The 26,370-nt window shown below is 43.3% G+C and overlaps 1 annotated feature.

Moving 5' to 3' along the window:
* Positions 2,980-3,180: a silencer, noted in NCBI's record as "peak4481 fragment used in MPRA reporter construct". NCBI's record gives its function as "represses an SCP1 promoter by STARR-seq MPRAs in K562 erythroleukemia cells {active_cell/tissue: K562}" and the evidence as "EXISTENCE:reporter gene assay evidence [ECO:0000049][PMID:32103011]".

The raw sequence follows: 26,370 nt of genomic DNA, 5'->3' as shown, positions 1-26,370 counted from the left end.
CTCTTTCAGTTGGCTCCTATGACACACCTTCATTAACTTTTTTTGAGCACTTCCTTATTTTCTTGTACTACAAGATGCTCTAGGCTCATCTTGTATATTTCCTGCCTGAGTCCTAGAATCACTGATTTCTCCAAAGAGCTCTGATTCTTTTTACTGGTGAATGGCATTAGAAACCAAGATCTGGGCACTAGAACTTCTCATGGTTACTGAGATGTCATTTATTTTAGGTCCTCTCAGCTGGCAGTGCAAAAAATGCATGTGTATTACTTATCTGAGTATATACACATATCTAGAAATATTTCTATCTGTAGCCATCTGTATCTAAATTAAGCTAAACATGAGTTCATACTGAAGAATTCAACTTGAATCCATTACCACATGGTTAATTCTAGCCTTCTCACCTGGATTATCTGTAAACTTCTACTCCAACAGTGAGAAACCTGACTCCCACAATCTGACATCCACTTACTTACTTGTTTCATTTCATTATATATGTAAAGTAGTATCAAAATTAATCTGTAGCCAATAGGTAACAACTTTATCAACTAGAGTACAGTGCTTATGTGCAGTTCCTTTTGCCTTTAGTCTACAGACTTAACTGATTCCAAAAATTTCCTTAGGTCAACACCTAATCCTTTCCTTGGAGTCCTCTTCAGTGAAGTTGTTGCATACATTCATAAAAATTCCTTAAAGAGACAAGGACATGTTCTGTTGGCCAGGATGGAGTGCAGTGGTGCAATCATAGCTCCTTTCAGCCTTGAACTCTTGGGCTCAAGCAACTCTCCCACCTCAACCTCCTGAGTAGCTAGGACGACAACTGCATGCCGCCACTCCTGGCTCTTATCACACTCTGCATTTTTTCCTAGGATCTCCCAACCTCCTAAATAATTTTTTAAAATTTGCATATGCTAAAGTTCACTGTTTGTGCTATACAATTCTGTGGGTTTTGACAAATGTAATAATGAATTTTATCCATCGTTACAGTATTATACAGTTTTACTGCTCTAAAAATCCCCCTTGTTTTACTGTTTATTACTGCCATGGAACCCCTGGCATCCTTTATTTTTTATTTTTATTTTTTTTTGAGATGGAGTCTCACTCTGTCACCTAGGCTTGAGTGCAGTGGCACACTCTTGGCTCGCTGCAACCTCCACCTCCCAGGTACAAGCAATTTTCCTACCTCAGCCACCTTGGTAGCTGGAATTACAGGTGCCTGCCACCACACCTGGCTAATTTTTGCATTTTTAGTAGAGATGGGGTTTTGCCATGTTGGCCAGGCTGTTTTTGAACTCCTGACCTCAGGTGATCCACCTGCCTTGGCCTCCCAAAGTGCTGGAATTACAGGCGTGAGCCAACATGCCTGGCTTCCACTGATTATTATCTCTATAGTTTTGTATTTTCCAGAATATCACATAGTTGGAATCGTAAAATATACAGCCTTTTCACACTGGTCTCTTTCACTTAGTAATAAGTATTTAAGGTTCTTTCATGTCTTTTCATGGCTTGATAGCTAATTTCTTTTCTTTTTCTTTTTTTGAGATAGGCTTTCATTCCTGTCACCCAAGCTGGAGTGCAATGGTGTGATCTCGGCTCACTGCAACCTCTGCCTCCTTGGCTCAAGTGATCCTCCTGCTTCAGCCCCCAAGGAGCTGGGACTAAAGGTGCATGCCATCATGCCTGGCTAACTTTTGTATTTTTTGTAAAGGTGGGGTTTCACCATGTTGCCCAGGGTGGTCTCAAACTTCAGAGCTCAAGTGATTCACCTGCCTTGGCCTCCCAAAGTTCTCCTGGCCTCAAGTGATCTGCCCACCTTGGCCTCCCAAAGTGCTGGGATTACAGGCATGAGCCACCATGTCCAACTCATAGTACAGGTGTGAGCCACCACACCTGGCCACTACCTTCTTTTCTTTTCTTTCTCTTTTTTTTTTTTTTTTTTTTTTGAGACAGAGTCTCACTCTCTTACCCAGGCTGTAGTATAGTGGAGCGATCTTGGCTCACTGCAACCTCTGCATCCTGGGTTCAAGTGATTCTCCTGCTTCACCCTCCCAGGCGTACACTACCACGCCCAGCTAATTTTTTGCAGAGACAGAGTTTCGGCATGTTGGCCAGACTGGTTTCAAATTCCTGACTTCAAGAGATCCCCTGCCTCAGCCTCCCAAAGTGCTGGGATGACAGGTGTTATCCACTGCACCCAGCCTACTAATTTTTTTATATTGCTGAATACTATTTCATTGTATAGATATACCAGTTTGTTTATCCATTTATCTATTCAAGGACATGTTTGTTGCTTCCAGTTTTAGCAATTACAAACAAAGCTACTATTAATATTTATATGCAGGGTTTTGTTTTTTGTTTTTTGTTTTTTTTTGAGACAGAGTCTCGCTCTGTTGCCCAGGCAGGATGGAGTGCCGTGGCGTGATCTCAGCTCACTACAAGCTCTACCTCCTGGGTTCACGTCATTCTCCTGCCTCAGCCTCCCGAGTAGCTGGGACTACAGGCGCCCGCCACTATGCCCGGCTAATTGTTTTGTATTTTTAGTAGAGACGGGGTTTCACTGTGTTAGCCAGGATGGTCTCGATCTCCTGACCTTGTGATCCACCCGCCTTGGCCTCTCAAAGTGCTGGGATTACAGGTGTGAGCCACTGCGCCCGGCCTGTTTTGTTTTTTTTTGAGTATCGCTCTGTTGTTGCACTCAGGCTGGAGTGCAGTGGCTCGATCTCGGCTCAGTGCAACCTTCACCTCCTGTGTCCAAGAGATTCTCCTGCCTCAGCCTCCTGAGTAGCTGGGATTACAGGCGTATGCCGCCATGCCCAGCTAATTTTTTGTATTTTTAGTAGAGACAGGGTCTCACTGTGTTGGCCAGGCTGGTCTCAAATTCCTGGCCTCAAGTGATCTGCCTGCCTCAGCCTCCCAAAGTGCTGGGATTACAGGTGTGAGCCACCAGGTCTGACTCATATGCAGGTTTTTGTGTGAGATGTTGATAATTCTGGGGGACCCTGGATCCTGGTTTTCACTCTTGCTGATTCATATTCTCAGGGGTCATATGAGAAACATGATTCACAGGCTTGCAGTTGTATAGTGGTGGTTCTGAGGTTCACAGGCTTGAAGGATCCTTCTTTTCCTCTCCCAGCCCATGGCTTGGACTGCTCAGCACACTGACACCTTGACTGTCTCTTCTGCAGCCTTTCCCTTGAAGTGCCCCACTCACATCTCACCTAAAGTCCCCCTGCCTGTTCATTCTTCCCCCACGTCCAACTTGGTGAATCCCAACCTGAACTCATTACCTCTCCCCTCAGACCTGCACTTGCTTCTGCTGCTGCTTTTTATTATTGAGACAGGGTCTCACTCTGTCACCAAGGCTGGAGTGCCATGGCACAATCATGGCTCACTGCAACTTCAACCTCCTGGGCTTGGTGATCCTCCCACCTCAGACTCCCGAGCAGCTGGGAGTGCAGGCACACACCACCACTCCCACCTAACTTTTGCATTTTTGGTAGAGACAGGGTTTTGCCAAATTGTCCAGGCTCAAGCAATTCTATCGTCTTGGCCTCCCAAAGTTCTGGATTATAGGCATGAGCCACTGCACCGCTGTGGACCTGGTTCTGTATTCATTGGTTTGGTGAGGGCATGCCTCCTCCATCACCCACGTCCTCCTCCACTTCCCCCTACCTCCAGTTAGTTATCCAGCCTGTGGATTCACCCTGATGCCTCCACATCCTGTGATCCATCACCATCAGTGCTCCTCGGAGGAAATCTTTCTCATCTTCTCCCCGCCCTTTGAGCTTGGGGCTTCAGACAAACCAGGCCATTTCATGCCTCTGCATCTCTGTGTTATGCTAGTCCCTCTTCTAGAGTATACCCTTCCCTTCATTAGCTGTCTGGGAAATTCTTATTCATCTCTTGAAACTCTGCTTGGGTATCTGTAAAACTTTGCTTACTTCTATCTATACTGTTGCTACTCAAAGTGTGGTCTGCAAATAAGTGGCTTTGGCATCACCTGGGAACTGGTAGAAATGCAGAATCTCAGGTTCCACACCAGACCTTCTGAATCTGCATTTTATTTTATTTTATGTTTTGAGATAGAGTTTTGCGCTTATTGCTCAGTCCGGAGTGCAATGGCACCATCGTAGCTAACTGCAACTTCTGCCTCCTGGGTTCAAGCAATTCTCCCGCTTCAGCCTCCCAAGTAGCTGGGATTACAGGCATCCGTCACCACAGCCGGCTAATTTTTGTATTTTTTTTTTTTTTGAGACGGAGTCTTGCTCTGTCGCCCAAGCTGGAGTGCAGTGGCGTGATCTCAGCTCACTGCAAGCTCCGCCTCCTGGGTTCATGCCATTCTCCTGCCTCAGCCTCCTGAGTAGCTGGGACTACAGGTGCCCGTCACCATGCCCGGCTAATTTTTTTGTATTTTTAGTAGAGACGGGGTTTTACTATGTTGGTCAGGCTGGTCTTGAACTCCTGACCTCAGGTGATCTGACTGCCTTGGCCTCCCAAAGTGCTGGGATTACAGGTGTGAGCCACTGCGCCCGGCCTGAATCTGCATTTTAAAAGATCCCCAGGTATTGGATGTGTACATTAACATTCGAGAGGTCTTCTATTGTGTGTTTCCATTGTAACATGAGTTATACTGTTTTGCAGTAATTCATGTTTGTTTTCTCCTCTGGACTGTGAGTTTCTTTAGGTCAGGATCAGGGTTCATGCCCCATTCAGGAGCTAGCTGATGCTGGGGCAACTGGAATGGAGCCCAGATACTTGTTTGACCTTCAGTGTTCTTCAGACCTGGGATCTAGGCCAGTGACAGAGAAATGCTACGGAAGTGAGGTTCTTTTCAAACACTATTTTGCTTTATCTTCACAAAGTTTTTTTTTGTTTTCGTTTTTTGAGACACAATCTCACTCTGTTGCCCAGGTTGAAGTGCAGTGGTACAATCACAACTCACAGCAGCCTTGGCCTCCGGGGCTCAGGTGATCCTCCCACTTTAGCCTCCCAAGTACCTGGAAATACAGGCATGCACCACCATGCCCAGCTAATTTTTGGATTATAGGCTGCTGCACCCAGCCACAAGTATATTGTTAATGCATATCCTTTCTTTTCCAATTTAGGATGAATTTGAATGAGAATAAATGGCAACATGAACAAGAGTTTATGTGTAAGAATGTTCCTAATTATAAAAAATTATAAAAACTTGGCCATGCGTGGTGGCTCACGCCTGCAATCCCAGCACTTTGGGAGGCCACGGTCTGCAGATCACGAGGTCAGAGATCGAGACCATCCTGGCAATGGTGAAACCTCGTCTCTACTAAAAATACAAAAAATTAGCTGGGCGTGGTGGCGGGCGCCTGTAGTCCCAGCTACTCGGGAGGCTGAGGCAGGAGAATGGCGTGAACCCGGGAGGCGGAGCTTTCAGTGAGCCGAATCGCACCACTACACTCCAGCCTGGATAACAGAGCGAGACTCCATCTCAAAAAAAAAAAAAAAAAAAAAATTTATACAAACTTAAGTGTCTAACTATATGGAACCATTAAAAATAGTGTTTTACGAATATATATGTACTTAGAAAGATATATAAATACAGACATTTTTATAATTAAAAAGTTATAAAGTATGTAATAAATTGTACAAATTCAAATATAAAACTGTATGTGAGTACATAGTCAAAGTAACAGCCAGGCGTGGTGGCTCACACCTGTAATCCCAGCACTTTGGGAGGCCGAGGCGAACAGATCACTTGAGGTCGGGAGTTCGAACCTGATCAACATGGGGAAACCCCGTCTCTACTAAAAATACAAAATTAGCTTGGTGTGGTGGCACATGCCTGTAATCCCAGCTACTTGGAAGGCTGAAGCAGAATCGCTTGAACCCGGGAGGCAGAGGCTGTGGTGAGCTGAGATCACGCCATTGCACTCCAGCCTGGGCAACAAGAGTGAAACTCCATCTCAAAAAAAACAAATAAACAACAACAAAAAAACCCACACAGTAACAGTCTGGGCCAGGCATGCTGGCTCATGCCTGTAATCCCAGCACTTTGGGAAGCCAAGGCAGGTGGATCACCTCAGGTCAGGAGTTCGAGACCAGCCTGGCCAACATGCGGAAACCCCATCTCTACTAAAGATACATAACATTAGCTGGGTGTGGTGATGGGCGCCTGTAATCCCAGCTACTTGGGAGGCTGAGGAAGGAGAATCGCTTGAACCTGGGAGGTAGAGGCTACAGTGAGCCAAGATAGCCAGCCACTGCACTTCAGCCTGGGGAACAGAGTGAGACTCTGTCCCAAAAAACAAACAAACAAACAAAATACAAAGTAGCAGTCTGTCCCGCATCTGTTGAGTGATAGGTTTCCATCTTTCTATAATTTCTGGTCCCCATATAAGGAGTAAAGTAATAATGTCTTATGTGGTCATGAGGTGGTAGCTTCTAAAGTTGTCAGGTCATAATGTAAAATTTATTATTATTAAAAATTGCCTCAAATAGTTCATGTTTCATAAAATTCAGTATGTGCAGTCTTAACACATATTGTACCTTCCTTAGTAAGTCCAACTAATTTTCCTACATCAGGAAATACATTTTTTTTTGTTTAGTATCAGTTTGCATTTAGGGGTCAGGTTGAAATATATATACTCATACGTACATATACCTATACATAAACACATATGTATATCTCTATCTCTTTGTCTATGTCTGTGTCTCTCTCTCTCTCTCTCTTTTTTTTAATTCCCAGCCCTTTGAATTGAAGTTGGGTAATTTAAACTGAACTATTTTCCCCCATAAAAATGAGAATGTATTTTTCTGCAACTTGCTTTTTAAAGTATTTTTCCATGTTCCTTCACATAAATCTACATTACTCTTTTCAACAGCAACACAGTATTTTATGGGGGTGCCATAATATAACTATTCCATTCTCTTATTGATAGACATTTCAGTTGTTTGACTTTTTTTGTTATTATAAATGATGTCAGCAATATCCTTTTACGTATATTTGGCTTTCTTTTATGAAAATAACTTTATGGTTTAAAAATACAAGCCAGGCCGGTGGCTCAGGCCTGTAGTCCCAACTACTCAGGAGGCTGAGGCAGAAGGATCTCTTAAGCCCTTGAGCCCAGGAGTTGGAGGCTGCAAAGAACTATGATGGTGTCACTGTACTCTAGCCTGAGCGAAAGACTGAGATGCCGTCTGAAAAAAAGTCATTGATAGGTTCAAGAAACCAAGGGGCTAATCTGATTAGGTCTGCCAAACTTAACCTGCCCTGCTTGCTGCTTTTGGTCACTCGCTTGTTTTTTGCTTTTTTTGTGGTGGTGGTCATTTTAGACAGGGTCTCGCTCTGTCGCCCAGGCTGGAGTGTGGTGGCCCAATCAGGGCTCACTGCAGCCTCAACCTACTGGGCTCAAGTGATCCTCCTGCCTCAGCCCCCAAGTAGTTGGGATTATAGGCATGCACCAACATGCCTGGCTAATTTTTTGTATTTTTAGTAGAGATGGGTTTCGCCATGTTGCCCAGGGTGGTCTCGAACTCCTGGATTCAAGGGATCCACTCAGCACCTCAGCCTCTGGAAGTGCTGGGACTATAGGCGTGAGCCACTGTGCCCGGCTGTCTATTATTATTATTATTTTACCCAGGTAGCTAAAAGTCACACTGCTTAACACAGTAACGACCTTCACTGACTTCCTTACAGATAACATTTCTGAAGTATATGTTGCCATGGTAATTAATGATTGCTTAGGTTGCTTTTCAGGAGCTTGGGGACAGCTCCTGTCCAGTTCAAACTGGTTGAGACCACTAACCCTTCAACTGGGCATGTGCAAATGCCCCTGAGGTAGCCTTCTGGAATTACAGGGAGAAAAACTCTATCCTCTGATGATGCTAACGCAGCCATTTTCTGAACATGCATCCTATAAAAAGCCATGACCCCAACTACATTTGCACAGATCACCAATTCATTTTTCCTCAATGTCAATCATCTCTTCCTACGCCTTAGACCTCTCCGCTTCTCTAATCCATAAACATTCCTAAACCTTATTTTCAGGGAGGCCGACTTGAGAGCTGTTCTCCCACCTTCTTGCTGGGCTGCCCTGTGAATAAACCTTTTCTGTTTTGCAAAATCTGGTCACAGTGACTGGTTTACTGCACATGGGCAGAACGAACCTGGTAGGTATCAACTGCTAATTTAAGGAAAACAATGTATCATGAAATATTTATTTTTTTGTTTTTTCCTCATCGAGGTTAGAAGGAAAGGACGTTGAAGTAAATGTTGTTGGAGAACCCACTGTACATTAGTTATTTCACTTAAAGTTGTGGTTTCCAAGAACCTAACTACGATGTTAACTGACATTCTGTAAGGCATTATTTGTTATTAAAATTTTAAATTACAGAAAGACATAATGCATATAGATGAAAATTTAAAAATCATCCTTAATTCCATCACTATGAGATACTGAGTTTCAGTTTTTCTTTCTTTCTTTTTTTTTTTTTTTGAGATGGAGTCTGGCTCTGTTGCCCAGGCTGGAGTGCAGTGGTGCCATCTCAGCTCACTGCAACCTCCGCCTCCTGGGTTTAAGCGATTCTTCTGCCTTAGCCTCCCGAGTAGCTGGGACTACAGGTGCATGCCACCACGCCTAGCTAATTTTTGTATTTTTAGTAGAGATACGGTTTCGCCATGTTGGCCGGGTTGGTGTTGAACTCCTGACCTCAGGCGATCTGCCTGCCTTGGCCTCCCAAAGTGCTGGGATTACAGGCGTGAGCCACTGGGCCCAGCCATCAGTTTTTAAAAATATTTATTTTACTAGAATTTAATAGAAGAAAAAGAACTGAAGTGAAACCAAAGCACCCCTTCTCTATATATTCTTCTAAATTTAAAAAGAGATTGTGAAATAGTAAGAGCATGAGAACATTATATTTTTGGTTAAACTTTGTTTTTCTCAATAAGCATGACTTTATTAAACTTTATTAAACTTTGTTTTTCTCAGTAAGCATGTCTTTAAATTTCCATGCAATAACATTTTGTCACCTGCCAAATTAAAATCAGAAGACACTAATGATGGCCAAATAGACCACATACACACACACACACACCCACACCACACACTTTAAAAACTTATTGACAGGAACAAAATGCAAAACCTGAACTAGGCTACTCTGGGCACACTGTCTATGGAGTTGCCCTATTCTGCAAGGAGGAGTACAAAAAAAGTACACTTTCTTCAGGAGAAGGTAATAAAAAAAAGGCTGATCTCCAAGAAAAATATCCAATAAAAATCACAAATTGCTTGTAGGGGGGAAAAAAAAGATACCCACGGAAAACACATCTATTTACTATCTATTATAAATCCAACAAAATAATGAATTCAGAATATTAATCTTTCTCCTTCCTCATTTTTTTTTTTTGTCTACTATGGGCTAGGCACTATTTCATACTTATTTAAAATAACAACAACAAAAAAAAACTTGCTAAGTTTTGAACATGCACATTAAGCACCTCTGATGAATGACCTAAGGTCTCGTGGAATCTTTTATAATCTATCTTGGACTTGCTTAAAATCAAGTTCCTAGTGTCAGTGACACAGAACTTGAAGATGACTTGACAATCTACTTTGTAAGTCACTTGCAGGCCAAAATTCAGAATCTTGCCTTATTTAGTGCACTTCCTTTTTTCACTCCTATTTAATTTTTGCTGTCGAGCTTGTGTTTGAGTGACATGGCTTTTACTTGCTAAGAAGGCAATAAATTCAGCTTTGTTTTAGATGGCTATTTAGTGGTCTTTATTTCTTACTCACCAGTTTTCCCAAACCATATGCATTTTAGCTTGACCATGATTGTTCTAGCATAGCTTTTGTCCCCGCAAAGCTTCTAAATGCACTCTCCTTTTCTGGTAGTGAAAGAGCCTTTGTCTGGATATCATCTTTAAGAACTTCTAGATTTTTACTTATTCAATTTGTGCAATGGCATCTATTTTCTTTTCTGTGTTTTTTTTTGTTTTGTTTTTGTTGTTTGTTTTGTTCTCCCCCACAGGAAATGAAGCATCTATTTCCTTCTTGAAGTTTTTTTTTTTTTGTTTGAGACAGAGTCTCGCTCTGTCACCCAGGCTGGAGTGCAGTGGCACGATTTCGGCTCATTGCAACCTCCGCCTCCTGGGTTCAAGCGATTCTCCTGCCTCAGCCTCCTGAGTAGCTGGGATTACAGGTGCGTGCCACCACGCTCGGCTAATTTTTGTATTTTTAGCAGAGACGGGCTTTCACCATGTTGGTCAGACTGGTCTCGAACTCGTGACCTCGTTATCCGCCTGCCTTGGCCTCCCAAAGTGCTGGGATTACAGGTGTGAGCCACCACACCTGGCCTTCTTGAAGTTTTCATCCCTGAGACCTCTTACTTCCAGTTCTAGTTTTGACAGATTGTATTTTAGGTCTGCTGCATAGCTATCAAGTTAGGATTTTTTCCCAACTCTCTCCTACTTTAGTTCCACTGTTTCTTGCTTCCCAAATCTTTTTCCTTGATTCCTTTATTAATGTGTTGGAGCACATCCTCAAGTAATTTTTTTTTTTCAGAGAGTGCATGGGAGGGAAAGTTTCAGAATCCCTGCTTGTCTTCAAATGTCTCCTTTTGCCTCCACATTTGCTTGATTAGGATATGGAATTTTCTTTCAACATAATTTTCTCTATACAAAAGTTCATACAACAAATAGAAATTTCATTATGTTAATAACTGGCACCAAAATTCGTCGAAGGGAAAAGATTATCTATGGGATGAAAAAAATACACTGATAAGCTCATGTGGGTAGAAGATAAGGGCAGGAGTGTTTCAGAGAGACCTGGAGGAAAAGGAAATGGTTACACTGCTCATTATGAGACAAGAGGAGGAATTTGTACTGGTTCTGAGAGAGCAGAGGATTGAAGAGAGAAAGAAAAGGGGGGTCCACTACTCAATGTGAAGTGGACTGTGTGGTTGTGGTGGTACTTTTGAAAAATCTATGTCCACAAGTTCTTTGATACTCTTCAACAGCTGGAGCTTAATTCTCCTTCCCTCAAGTATGGGTAGACTTAGTGGCCTACTTCTAGTGAACAGAATCAAGCAGAAGTAATGGTGTGTGACTTCGAAGAGCAGGTCCTAAAAAGGTACTGTGGCTTACCTCTGGGTTGCCTTTAAGAGGGGTGACAATTTCCACTTCCTCTTTTGTGGAATGTTTGCTTTGGGAGAAGCCAGCTGCCATGTAGAAGTCTAACTACCTGAGATTGCCATGCTAAGATGAAGTCCAAGCTAGCCATGTGAAAAGGCAGCATCACCTTGCCCACAGCTACCCAACTTCCCAGCCCAGATACCACACATGGAAGTGAAGGAGCCATCTTGAACATTTCCTGCCTGTGATGGGTTAATATTGAGTGTCAACTTGATTAGATTGAAGGATGCAACGTATTGTTCCTGGATGTGTCTGAGAGTGTGGCCAAAGGATGTTAACATTTGAATCAGTGGACTGGGAGAGGCAGACCCACCCTCAATCTGGGTGGGCACCCAGCAGCTGCCAGTGCAGCTAGAATAAAGCAGGCAGAAGAAGTGGAAGGACTTGACTTGCTGAGTCTTCCAGCCTTCATCTCTCTGGTGCTGGAGGCTTCCTGCCCTTGAACTCCAAGTTCTTCAGCTTTTGGACTCTTGGACTTACACCAGTGGTTTGCCAGGGGCTCTCAGGTCTTCAGATGCAGATTGGGGGCTGCACTGTCGGCTTCTCTACTTTTGAGGTTTTGGGACTCCGACTGGCTTCCTTGCTTCTCAGCTTGCAGATGGCCTATTATGGGACTTCACCTTGTGATTGTGTGAGTCAATACTCCTTAATAAACTCCCCTTTTATATACATCTATCCTATCCTATCCCCTTTTATATACATCTGTCCCTCTGGAGAATCCTAACTTATACACCACCCCAGAAGACGCATCACGGAGAAGAACTGAGGCCCCAAGCTCATGGCCCCAGTTGAGCTGTCCCAGCCATCTTCAGCCATCATCACTGCACTGCACTGCACTGCACTGCAGCTGATGTCTTAGATATCTAAGAACAGAGATGAACCATCCATACTGTGTCCTGCCCAATTCCTGACCCACAGAATCATAAGTATATAAAATGCTTGTTGTTTTATGATACTAAGCTTTTTGGGGTGGTTTGTGATACAGCAACAAACAACTGGAACAATCATAGTTTACAAATGTTAAACTAAGTATTGAAAGTGACCTCGGCCACAATCCCAGCACTTTGGGAGCCTGAGGTGGGCGGATCACTTGAGGTCAGGAGTTTGAGATCAGCCTGGCCAACAAAGTGAAACTCCGTCTCCACTAAAATTACAAAAATTAGCTGGGCATGGTGGTAGATGCCTGTAATCCCAGCTACTCGGGAGGCTGAGGCAGGAGAATCGCTTGAACCTAGAAGGCAGAGGTTGCAGTGAGCAAAGATCGTGCCATTGCACTCCAGCCTGGATAACAGAGTGAGACCCTGTCTCAAAAAATAAATAAATAAGCAAATAAAGTGACCTCATGCTACCTCGTCGCAATAGCTCCAGTACTTAGCACAGAGGACTGGTCTTCCAGAGGCTTGATGAAAGTTTATTGAATAAAATGACTCCTGCCTTCCTTCTTCCTTCCTTCTCTTTCCTTACTATCTTCCCACTCACATTTAAAAGGAAAAGGCTGGGCGCAGTGGGTCATGTCTGTAATTCCAGCACTTTGGGAGGCCAAAGCTGGTGGATCCCTTGAGTCCATGAGTTCGAGACCAGCCTGAGCAACATGGCAAAACCCTGTCTCTACAAAGGATAAAAAAAATCAGCTGGGTGTGGTGGCAGTTACTAGGGTTGCTGAAGTTGGAGGATCACTGAAACCTGGGAGGTGGAGGTTGCAATGAGCTGAGATCACGCCACTGCACTCCAGCCTGAGCGACAGAGTGAGATCCTGTCTCAAAAAATAAATAAATAAAACAAAATAAAATAAAATAAAAGAAGCCCAAATGCTCAAAGTTCTGAAATGATACTCTAGGAGCTGATTTTCAGTTGCTCAGGGGACCAGGGAAGAATTGGGCCTCATGGGTGGTGGATGGCCAGATCTCAGAGGGTTCTAGCTTCTTCCTATTCCAAGTCCCTCCAAGGAACTCCCTTGATTGGAGATGAGGCTGTGGCTTTAAGGAACTTATCTCTGATAATAATTCCAAGGGTAAAGCTCTGGGGCACTGTGTGGGTTTTGGGAATACAGCAGCTAAGCTACGATGTTATGAGGAATTTGGAAGGAGGGAACTCTCTGGGTGCCAACAGGCTATCTGGCCTTTGGCATGTCCTCCCCTCTCTGGCCTCAGTTTCCTTTTAATGAGTCTCCTTTGCCAAAGCCCACTCTGGGAAAAACCTGAGGTCATTAAAAATGGAATCTGGCAATGGCCCAAAATGCTGGAAACAAATTCACCCCTCTGATGCTTCAAATTCTTCAGAAAATGTGGGCTGACACTGGAAAGAGCAAGTCACAAAACGGTCCGTACAGAACATTCTCTGTTTGTAACTTTATCCAGCCTCCCTGTATAGAACCAAGGTGGTGAAGGCTACTTGCCAATGTGTTATCTGTGGTTATCTGAGTTGGCAGGAGGAAATTATTCTGGGTAATTTTTATTTTCTTTTTGTGTGCTTCCAGATTTTCTACAATGAACATCTATTACTTTTGATAATCAAGAAATTAAAAAAGTTTAAAAGCAGGCCTTTTGGCACATGCCCTTTGTCATGCTCAGTAAGTACACAAGTTGCTTCTGGGTAGAAGTAAAAAAGAGAGGAATCATCCATGCAGCCTTGTGGGTGAAGACTGTGGGGTTTTCTAATTTATTGGTTTTCCCTTGCTATACAACAAATTACCACAAACTTAGTGGCTTAAAACAACACACATTATCTCACAGTTTCTGTGGGCTGGGAGTCCAGGCATGGCTTAGCCGAGTCCTCTGCTCAGGGACCCACAAGGCTACAGTCAAGATGTTGGGTGGGCTGTGTTCTCATCTGGATGTTTGAATGGGGAAGAATCCACTTCCAAGCACACTCAAGTTGTTGGCAGAATTCAGTTCCTTGGAGCTGTGGGACAGAGGGCCCCAGCTTCTTGCTGTCCTTTGCTTGGAAGCCACCCTCAGATCTATACCCACAGTTTCTTGCCATTTGGGATTTCCCAACATGTCCACTTTCTTTAACAAACCAGCAAGGAGAGCTTCTAGAGCAAGACACTATTTTTTTTTTTTTTTTTTTTTTTAAGCAGGGTCTTGTTCTGCCACCCAGGCCAGGCTGGAGTGCAGTGGCATGATCTTGGGATCACTGTAACCTCCACCTCCTGGGTTCAAGTAATTCTCCTGGCTCAGCCTCCTGAGTAACTGGGACTACTGGCACACACCACCATGCCCAGCTGATTTTTTTTTTTTTTTGTATTTTAGTAGACACAGTGTTTCACCATGTTGGCCAGGCTGGTCTCGAACTCCTGACCTCAAGTGATCCATCTGCCTTGGCCTCCCAAAGTGCTGGGATTACAGGCGTGAGCCACCATGCCCAGCCAAGACAACATTTTCTAAAAGGAAATCATAAAACCCACCTTAAGGGGAAGTCAATTGAAAGGGAAGGGATGACACAAAGGTACTGTTATGGACTGAATATTTCAGTAAAATTCACATTGAAGCCCTAACCCTCACCCCCACAGTGTGACTATATTTGAAGATGAGCCTCTAAGGATGTAATATTAAATGAGGTCACAAGGGTGAGGCCCTGATCTGATAGGATTAGTGACCTTGTAAGAAGAGCTCTTTCTCTATGTGCATGCACCAAGTAAAGCCATATGAGGACATATTGAGAAGGCAACCATATATAAGCCAGAAAGAGAGCCCTCAGAAACCAAGGCAGCTGATCACCCTAATCTCAGATTTCCAGCCTCCAGAAGTGTGAGAAATTAATTTCTGTTGTTTAAACCACTCAGTCTGTGGTATTTTGTTATGGCAGCCTGAGATGACTAAGATAGATGTGAACACCAGGAAGCATGGATCATTGGAGAGTGGTGGGGGTAAGAACACCTTTAAGCCTGTCTGCCACTTAATATTGTGAGGTTGGCTGGAATTCCAGATAGAAATTCCAGAAGCTAAGGTTCTCCTCAGAGGTTTTCATTCTGTAGGCCAGTGTGAGGCTTGCGAAGTTCTGAATGAACTCTCTGAAGGTGATCTCAATGATGGTGGCAGGTGGCCTACATCTGGGGAATAGATCAGGCAGCTTCAAATCCTGGCCCTGCCACTTCCTAGCTATAGAACCTTAGATTAATGGCTTCTTTCAGCCAAAGTTTCTTCATCTGATGTTGCCTGGCAAGTTATTAAAGGAAAATATAAAACACTCTCTGGTGTAAGCAGCTCTTATCTCCAGCCCAGCCCCAGCAAAAGGAGGCTGATGATATTGCTGTCTCATACCCCATCTGGAGATGTCCTTAGTATTCGGTGTTTCAGGGCCATGCAAAGATTTGAAATAAGAAGGGGACAGGATTTGAGGATGTTCAAAACATGGAGGAGACCTAATTCTTGCTTGTCCTTACAGCTGGAGAAGGTGAGTGTCCAGGTGTATATCTGAAGTCAGTTGGGGGACTGGACTGAAGGAAGAGCCAGTGTCTCTGGACACCAGAAGGAAGCGTCCTGGGCATGATGTCTAATAGCAGGTGAAGGAGGTGCTTTTTTTCCATGTGGTGACCACCATGGGAGGTGCCTTAGATTTTTGTCATCACAGAGTCATGGCTGGGGGTAGGGCGGTGTGAGCAAGTAGACTCAGGGCGGCATGAAATAACCTATAAAGGTATGGGAAACTTCTTGCGCTAGGGCTATGGAATAAAATTCATACCTGAAACATGTCAAATGAGATGACGTGTGTAAATTGCAGAGTTGTGTCTGGCACATGCTAAGGGTTTGATAAAAGAAAGCTACTATTCTGTTATCAACATCTCCTAGTTGAGTGGCTAAAAAGCCTCTGTTCTTATTCATCCACCATCATGGGTCCATTGTTTTCCAGGTTGAAGAAGATATATGGCTCAGAGAATGAGGTTTTGGTAGAAGCCTGCGTAGAAGATCATTTATATGGAGGGGATCCTCATACAGTGGATAAAAGCAGAGATCTTAGTTCCATTCCCAGCCCTAATCAGTTATTAACATGTATTGTAATAATGTTACAGAATGCTGTCCAGAATTGGGAGACGGGGTGGTATGGGTGTGTTTTAGATGCTTAACCAAAGGATATTTGAGCAAAATATACCATCAGGGCTAGATTACTGGGCATGCAACCTGCGGAGTCACACAAGCCTCCATACTTAAAAGGGCCCTGCTCCCAGAAGGGCCTCACATTTGTTTTGTGCTCTATTGTCACCTTCTTGAAATTCTTAATGATTTTTGAACAAGGGACCCCGCATTTTCATTTTGCACTAAACCCAACAATTTATGTATATGTCCTGTATACCACATCTTGATCTGAGTTCTTAGCAGCAATCTGAATGTGAAGTTTCCAAATTTCTTACAGCCCTTTATCTTCTATGAGTCTTGATAGATGTTGAGCAACTTCCTCCTTATGAAATTTCACAAGGCAGGGGTAGAATATGGACACTATAGGTTTAGGGGAAGGGGAAGGAGTCAGAGCCAGGGAGAGTGTGTGAGGATCCCCTCCACATAGGGCACCCAAAGATGTATAAAAGGAAGTGGTTTCCTGTAAGGCCTAGGTGGAAGACACATGGAAATCTGACTCAAATTTTCCAAGTGGAAGAAAGACCAGGAAATGAGAGAGGCAAGGAAAGAAGGGAATAAGCAGGTTCTGCCTCTCCTTCTTAGGCTGTTAGGTCCTAAGGACAAGCACAGAGGTGAAGCAAGAGTATGTGGTTATCATCAAAGGGGTCCACAGGGCTGTCAGGACACAATGCTATTGGAGCAGGGTTCTTTGCCTTAAAAGAGGGTACTGGGAGAGGTATCTTGGCGAAGAGCTATAAACACAGCAGCCTCAGCCCTCATTCCCTTTTTGGGTGCTCCAGGCACAAGGAAACAGCAATCCATTTGGCGAAGTGCTAAGAACAACTTGGTATCAATTTGCTTTTCGGCCAAAGCCAAGGATACTTGCTATTATAGACTCGAGGTTTCTTGAAACTTTTCCACATTCATTTTTGATCACTGTGAGTTTTCCCATAGTTAAACATAATGTAGCATCTCAAAGTGGTTGGGGTTGGGGCTTGCTTTGGGCCAGAAAGGGATGGGAGAAGCTGCATAACTCAACCCCGTTCTTCTGTAGGACCTGCAACGAAGCCTGTTCTACTACAGGCTGCCTTTCATCAAGACCTCTTCTAGGTCCTGTCTTTGGGGCTGGTTTCCAGGGCTGTCTCATGTGTGCATGTGCATGTTTACGTGTTGCTCTGAACTCTGATTTCATTCTTGATTTGTCATACACTTTCCAAAATTTGTGGTATAACTTAAGTGATTACATTGGAAAATGAATATTGTAAAATACACACAGAATATACTGCAGTATAATTGTGCTGGTCACAAGGCAAACAGAGATTTAAAACATCAGTTCATAGTGCACTCCAGGTGTTTGTTCTTAGGATAGGACGCAAGTTGAATGTCATTTTGAGGACCATCATTGTTGTGTTATGAGCATACCAGTAAATATTTATGACTGGAGCCTGAGTTCGTTGGTTCTCCTGTCTCGCCACCTCCATGGAAGCCATGTTCTATGTATGTCTCCTGAATCCTAGAAGACCTAAAACAGCCTCTGATCTTCTCTGGCCAAACCATCTTCTCTCCAACTCCAAAGAGTTCCAGGCATCATCTGAACTTGAGAAATCAGACTCTTGTCCAAAGAGGCCAAGTGTTGAATCAGGCAAACGTGATTCTGCTCTTTTTTTTTGAGATGGAGTGTCGCTCTATCACCCAGGCTGCAGTGCAATGGCACGATCTTGGCTCAGTACAATCTCCACCTCCCGGGTTTAAGTGATTCTCCTGCCTCAGCCTCCCGAGTAGCTGGGATTACAGGCACCCACCAACATGCCCAGCTAATTTTTATATTTTTGTAGAGATGGGGTTTCACCATGTTGCCTGAGCAAATGGCAATTGTTAGCAATAATGCTGTTAAGGCAACAATATCCTGGAAGACTTAGCTCAGCCAGCCATTCCCTTGCCATTTTTAACCACAGCACAACTGCTGGTGTCAATGACATGCACATGCTATCACATTCAATTTGTTTTATAAGGAAAAGCAATTTCTTATTTACCCCACCACCCTCAGAAATGCTGTCGACAGAAAAACATGTCACATTCCCTTTCTCTCATGGGCTGAGGTCCTTGGATGCCACTCATGCCAGTTGGCCAGTTAGCAAATGTGGTAGGAGGCCTGGATTAAGAAGGTCCAATTCTCATTCATAGAAATATGGCCTTTCTTGGGCAGATCACTTGAGGCCATGAATTTGAGACCATTCTGGCCAATATAGTGAAATCCTGTCTCCACTAAAAATACAAAAATTAGCCAGGTGTGGTGGTGCACGCCTGTAATCCTAGCTACTCGGGAGGCTGAGGTAGGAGAATTGCCTGAACCCAGGGGACGGAGGTTGCAGTGAGCCGAGATTGCACCACTACACTCCAGCCTGGATGACAGAGTGAGACTCCATCTCAAAAAATTAAAAAAGAAAAAATGAAACATGACCTCTGTCATCTCTATCAGAGCAGGTGAACAGTCCTGGGAGCCTGGGCACACTCCACAGGGATAAATGGCTTACCACTGCACTGACTGCATCAGATCAAGGTCCCATACCCTCAATTGCTACTTGTTATTAAAAAAAAAAAACCGTAGGTTTGTTTCAGTCAGAGTCCTGGTCCTTTACACCAACAATAATAAAAGGTATTTTTCTGCTTAGGTGTAATTCCAAACAATTAGAATATCCCAGAAGCCCTCACAGTTTTATCCCAGGTTGCCATCCCAAACCAGTAGGTCTCCATGTCTTAAAGTAGCCGAAATAAGACCCAGTCATTAGGTCAGGGAAATGGGCTGAAGCTAGATCAACAATTACATCAAGAGTGGAACACTGAGAATCTTAAGGACTCCTGGGCTCATCTTTGCCATTCTCCTGAGTCAACAGAAGTGGAACAGAAACAGCAGAATTAGGCCGGATGCAGTGGCTCACTCCTGTAATCCCAGCACTTTGGGAAGCCGAGGCAGGCAAATCACCTGAGGTCAGGAGTTCAAGACCAGCCTCATTCTCAGATGAGCAACCTCCTTGTGGTGGCAAGAGGGCTGCCAATAATGCCAGTCTTGCAACCTTACAGTTCTAAATTCAATAGATTAAAAAGGAAATTCCCCCACCTCCATTAGCTCTATTTGTGTAAAACTGGCTTGGCTTAGATAATAAACTCACTCCATATCCAACTACCCTGACCAAGGCGCTGCAGTGCTCTGGTCGGTCCGAGTTACATGCTCAGTCCTGGAGCCAGGGGTAGTGAACAGACAGAAAGTGAAGGAGGGTTGGAAACTCAGAGCGCAACTAATATTCTCTTATCAAAAGAAGTGAAGATAGATACTGAGTAGACAAAAGCAATGGATGTCCATAACAGTGAGACTCTGAGAGCATAAAGGAGGGCCACTGAACTAATAAAGAGACCAATTTATTAATTTATGATTTTTTTCTTGAGACGGATCTCACTCTTGTTCCCCAGGTTGGAGTGCAATGGTGCGCTCTCAGCTCTCAGCTCACTGCAACCTCCGCCTCCTGAGTGGCTGGGATTACAGGCACCCACCACGCCTGGCTTAATTTTTGTATTTTTAGTAGAGACGGATTTTACCATGTTGGCCAGGCTGGTCTAGATGTCCTGACCTAAAGTGATCTGCCCGCCTCGGCCTTCCAAAGTGCTGGGATTACAGGCGTGAGCCACTGTGCACAGCCCTATTAATTTATGATTAAAGATATGTGGCTGGTTCATGACCCAACCAGTCATCTACTCTTAGTGAGTCCAGCTAGGGGCAGGTTGATTCAGTAGTATAAAATCAGAACGGATGGAATCAGATGTTCCTAAGAAATATTTCCAGCAAAATATTTATGGGCAGACTACGTTCAGTTGTGAGGCAGAGAAAAACCTCATATACTAATGATGTCAAGAAGACAGAAATTAGTTTTGTAAACGAGGTCCAGAGATAAGCAGTTCAGGCCTGGTAAGGTGGCTTCACATTCATCAGGAATCTAGGCTCCTTCTAACTTGTTGCTCCATCGTCACTGGCACAGAGTGCCTTCTCCTTTATGGTCCAACAGTGACAAATTCCAGTCATGGAATTCTAGTCAGCGGGGTGAAGCCTACATTCTAGTCAGGAGGGTGAAGGAAGGAGATGGGCTCACTCCTTTTTAAGGATAAGTCCTATAAGTTACTCAGGTCCCACTGGCTAAAATTTAGTTAGTGGGTTACACCTGCCAGGGAAACTGAAAAATGTGTTTACTCTGGGAAGAACAAATACAGGGAGACAACACATCTTTGTTAGAAGTGGCACCCTAGTGGACAACCCTTTCTCTGTCGTAGGGAGTGGCCTATTCAAAGGCTGAGGGCCAGTCACCTGGAACCCATGCATCTACAAAAGGCAACCCTGGATATAAAAGAGTTAACCAACTGTTACTCTTTGTTGCCCTCTTTTTTGATCCCTTAGCATATGCTAACTTGAAAAAGTCTAGGTACAATTTAATTGCTTTAAAAATTATATTTATGGCTCACACCTGTAATCCTAGCACTTTGGGAGGCCGAGGAGGGTGGATCATTTGAAGTATGCAGTTCGAGACCAGCCTGGCCAACATGGTGAAATCCTGTCTCTACTAAAAAAAAAAGAAAAAAAAAAAAATCAGCTGGGCGTGGTGGCATGTGCCTGTAATCCCAGCTACCTAGGACACTGAGGCAGGAGAATTGCTTGAACTCGGGAGGTGGAGGTTGCAGTGAGCCAAGATTGCGCCACTGCACTCCAGCCTGGGCGACAGAGCGAGACTCCATCTCAAAAAAAAAAAAAATAAAAATAAATAAAAATTTAATTATTTCCCTTAGAAATAAACTGTCTCTTAAAAAAAAAAAAAAGGATGTGCTCCCACAACCAGTGAAACAATGCCAGTATGTATAAAGCACCAAGTTTCTCCAAACCCCTCAATTTGGTGTATCCTTCCACTTTTCTTTCATGTTCATTTAGATACATTTGTAGGGCTTCCAGCCCTGCACCCCATACAATGGGCTATTATGATATACATTACTCTGTAATTTTTGTTTGTTTTGCTTAATGCATCATGGACATGCCACAGGCTAAGAAATAGAGGTCTTCTTTCTAACAGTTGCATAACACTCCACAGTATAGCTGTCCTATAACTGATTCAACCACTCCACTTTGATCGATTGCTTTTTAAATTTTTTTGCTAGCACAGGTTACGTTGCAGTAAATTTCTCATACTGATGTCCTTTTATCTTGGTGCTTTTAGTTCTTTGAGAGTCTTTAAAGTAGGAATGCTGGGTCCAAAAGTGTATATTTAAAAATTTGCATCAGTATTGCCAGATCATCATCTAAAAAAATTGGAACAATCTACATGCCCACCAACAATGTATAAAAGTTTTGTTACCCTAATTCTTGCCAGCACTATATGTTACTGCTCTTTTAAATTCTGCCATCTGATAGGTGGCAAATGGTACTTCATTGCTCTGTTGTACATCACATCTCACTGACCTCATTATCTTTCATATGCTTACGGAAATGTTGAAGAGCATCATGGTTCAAAGTACAGACTAACAGACAACCTGTGTTTGAGTCATAGCTCTATCACCTATTGTGTGACATGGGCAAGTTATTTTATCCTTCTGAGCCTGTTTCCGTAGCTGTAAAACAGGAATAATATTGCCTATCTCATAAACTGTGACAATTAAATAACACTTGTAAAGTGCCTGAAACAATGCCAAGTATGAAACAAACACCAAATAAATGGCTAGTGATTATTACTTTACTTATAAATTTGTAGGAACTCTCTGTATTAGCAACATTAGTCCTGGATCTGTCATTTATGTTGGAAATATCTCTCCAATCTATCACATCTTTTACAGAACCAAGATTTGTTTCATGTAGTCTTATATGTCTGTAATTTCCTTTATGGCTTGTAGGTTTTCTGCTTTGTTTATGAAAATCTCCCATGTCATAAGATCACAAAAATAGTCTCCTAAATATTCTTCTAGTGTTTCATTTTAAGATTTAAATCTGTAGTCCTTTTGGTATTTATCTTTGTAAATGTTGTGAGGTAGGGATTTGGTTGCTCTCTAGGCACCTTACTGTAGCTCTCTGTATCAGTTACAAATACTAGATTTTTAAAAATTTCATGGAAAGAAATATGGAAGAAAATAAATTACAGTATTCATAGCAATAGGCTTTTGGGTTGTTCTGAATAATCATTTCAATTTTGTCTTTCTTTTAATGAATTCTTGCATCTCCACTGCTTTAAAAAATGTGGAACCCAGCCAGGCACTGTGGCTCACACCTGTAATCCCAGCACTTTGGGAGGCCGAGGGGGATGGATCACGAGGTCAGGAGATTGAGACCATTCTGGTCAACATGGTGAAACCCCGTTTCTACTAAGATACAAAAAATTAGCTGGGCATGGTGGTACGCAGTTGTAGTCCCAGCTACTCGGGAGGCTGAGGCAGGAGAATTGCTTGAACCTGGGAGGCAAAGATTGCAGTGAGCCGAGGTAGTGCCATTGCACTCCTGTCTGGCAACAGAGCAAGACTTCAGTTCAAAAAAAAAAAAAAAAAAAAGTGGAAACTTTTTTTTCAAATGAAATAATAATAATACAGGAAATTCCAATATACAAAATTGAGTTGTTCCTGTTTGAAGTGGCAAAAGATGAAGCTTGAGGAATAAGATAATGAGAAGCTGAAGAGCCTTGTAAACCAGGAGAGTTTAGATTTTATTCTGAAATGCCGGGGGAACTATTAAAAGGTTAAGTAGGCTGGGCATAGTGGCTCACACCTGTAATCCTAGTGGTTTGGGAGGCCAAAGTGGGAGGATTGCTTGAAGCCAGGAGTTCAAGACCAGCCTGGGCAACATAGCGAGATAGTGTATCTACAAAATAAATAAATAAATAAATGGCCAGCCAGGCATGGTGGTACGTGCCTGCAGTCCCAGCTACTCATGAGGCTGAGGCAGGAGGGATGCTTGAGGCCAAGAGTTTGAGGCTGCAGTAAACTATGATTGACACTGCATTCCAGCCTGGGCAACAGGGATACCCTATCTCTTGGGGGGCTACTCTAGCTGTCCTGTAGAGAAGACTGCAGTGGGACAATAATAGAGGCAGTGAAACCACTAGAAAGGCATTATAGTACTTACAGCAACAGATATATGTTCCCTTGGACAAAGTGATAGAAGTGGAGATAGTTTTAAGGTATATATTTACATGCTAACACCAAGATCATTTAATGACTAACAGGGACTCTGGGAGAGAGGGAAGCTTCGAGAATAACTCTCATGTTCTGGTTTGAGAAACAGAGTAGAGGGTGGTGCCATTTACCAACAAAGGGAACACTGGAGAGCAGATTTTAAGGAAAAAATGAAGAGGTCAGCGTTTATTATGTTGGGTGAGAGTATCTTTGTGTTAATCAAGCAGTGGATATCAAGGTACAGGTGGGCATTCAGATCTGGAGCTCAAGACACATATCAAGGCCAAAGGTAGGAATCTGGAAATTATCAATATACAGTTAGAAACCAAGGCCATGGAAATGGATGAGATTTTTCAGAGTCTACAGGGCAAGAAGACTTAAAGATTAAGTCAGGAATCTGGGCAGGTGAAGACCTCTCACATTCCTCTCAGAAACTCATATACCTCTTACACATTATCCTCTGGGCTCACATGGCATGGGAAATGGGTAGTTTCCCAAAGGAAAGGTGAAGTGCTATTCTCAGAGGGGAAAAAGATAACACTGGGTAGGCAAACGTACACTATGTGGACATGCATTCTTCAACATGAACAATCTTAATACCTTCACTCAACATAATCCCCCCTAAAGGGAGATCTTCCTCTTAAAGGGAGATAACCTAAAATAATTTCTAGTTATAAGCCTAAGATTTCTGGGTGATGCTCATTCTTCTCTAGTTCTTAACCCCATCTTGATAATCTGCAACTTACGGATTTCCTGATATATTTAACCATCACCAACACACTCATACACATCAGTGAGGGGACACTACCACTAGAATGGCTCAGCTCCAATGGAGGAGAAATCTGATTGGATTAACTTGCATCATGCTCAAACTTCAGCCAGGAAATGTTAGGGCAGAATACTGTAATGAATAAAGAGGAGAGGGGGAAATAAAATAAGGCAACCTAAAAGATATGGGGTAGAGGCTACAGATCTTACTTCTCCAACAGGTTATGGGGCTATAACTGCTATTTATCTCTTCCTCTTTGACTATACTTTTTTGTTTAATTCAGTCAGGGATTTTTGACTAATAGGGTAACCCAAACCTTCATTCCTGAGATATTTCGAGGATTGGGATTCTCTAAATCTTCTGAATCTTCCCAGGTATCAGCACTCTATACAGTCTCTTTTCTGATTAATACCTTAACTCTCACAAAAGAGACGTTAGTAATGCTACAAATTCAACCAGCATTGTAATTTTGCAATTTGAATAATTAATCTCCAAGTACTAGTGTGGATTTAAGCACCGAGATTCATTTATCCTGGCCACAAAAAGGGCCTGTATTTTATTCTATGCCCACAGGTCAGTTTCTGGGTTTGAGCTGATGCCCTTCACTTTAAGACAGCTACCGGGGCCAGGGGCGGTAGCTCATGCCTGTAATCCCGGCACTTTGGGAGGCTGAGGTGGGCGGATCACTTGAGGTCAGGAGTTCAAAACCACCCTGGCCAACATCTCTACTAAAAATACAAAAATGAGTTCAGCATGATCGCGTGTGCCTGTAATCCCAGCTACTTGGGAGGCTGAGGCAGGAGAACCACTTGAACCCAGGAGGCAGAGGTTGCAGTGAGCTGAGATCGCACCATTGCACTCCAGCCTGGGCGTTGCAGCGAGACTCTGTCTCAAAGTATATATATATATATAAATAAAATTAAAAAAAATAAAATAGCTAATGCAATCAAAGTAACCATTCTAACTCAGTGGTCCTGGCCTGCTTTATCCACTTTATTTTTTTGAGACAGAATCTCACTCTGTCACCTAGGCTGGAGTGCAGTGGCACAATCTCAGCTCACTGCAAACACTGCTTCCCAGGTTCAAGAGATTCTCCTGCCTCAGCCTCCCAAGTAGCTGGGATTACAGGTACCCAACACCATGCTCAGCTAATTTTTTCTTTCTTTTTTTTTGAGATGGAGTCTTGCTCTGTTGCCCAGGCTAGAGTGCAACAGTGCGATCTTGGCTCACCACAACCTCTGCCTCCTGGGTTCAAGTCATTCTCCAGCCTCAGCCTCCCGAGTAGCTGGGATTACATGATTAACCATCATGCCTGGCTAATTTTTGTATTTTTGTAGAGACGGGGTTTCATCATGTGGCCAGGCTGGTCTTGAATTCCTTGACCTAAGGTGCTCCACCCACCTTGGTCTCCCAAAGTGCTGGGATTACAGGTGTGAGCCACTGTGCCCAGTCTATCCACTTTAAATTGTCCTATTGTCAACAATTACCTGGCCCTCCAAATTCTACTCTCAACAGGCACGATTCCAAATGACAAGAAATGATATCATTACTGTTTTGTCACCCTTAACTCGTAGATTTATCCTCCCAGGGACACAGAACAAGAGCTGGTGCCATTATCTGTCTCAGTACAATAATCAATTCCAGATCCTCCATATGTTCCTGTGGGTTAAAGGCCTACCATTTAACTCTCCGGCCTCCATTTCTGTAATTAGTCAGTCATTTGGTCACCAGCAATAGAAACCCATTTTGGCTGACAAAAAGGAAACTTATTTTAAGGAGGCTATGTGGTAGTTTATACAATCAAAGGAAAACTTGGACAACCAGGCTTGGAGAATAGGAGCCAGCATACTTTGGAGATCTCCTTTCATAAACTTTTAAATGGTTTCTTTAGAACACTACGATCAGAATGACTCAACTCTGATCACTTTGTGGTCACCTTTCTTAAGAATCAAAGTCCTTGTGGGACAGAACGAGCTTGCATTGCTCAAACCTCAGCCAGGGGGCATGAGGCCGGAGTACTGTCATCTACATTTCCACTACCACCACACAGAATGGGAAGGAGCAGCTTTCTAAAGGATAAGTGGGGATGTATGATTAAAGTAAAGGGGAAGTGATTTTTGGCAAGCCAAAGCAATGGATGTCCACTATACCTATATTTACATGATGGGGAGAAGAACCTACAATAAAGGAGT

Source organism: Homo sapiens, chromosome 22, assembly GCF_000001405.40.
Source record: "Homo sapiens chromosome 22, GRCh38.p14 Primary Assembly".
Taxonomy (NCBI): Eukaryota; Metazoa; Chordata; class Mammalia; order Primates; family Hominidae; genus Homo; species Homo sapiens.
Note: the sequence above shows the minus strand (reverse complement) of the source record. Positions and strands in the feature narration are given on the sequence as shown.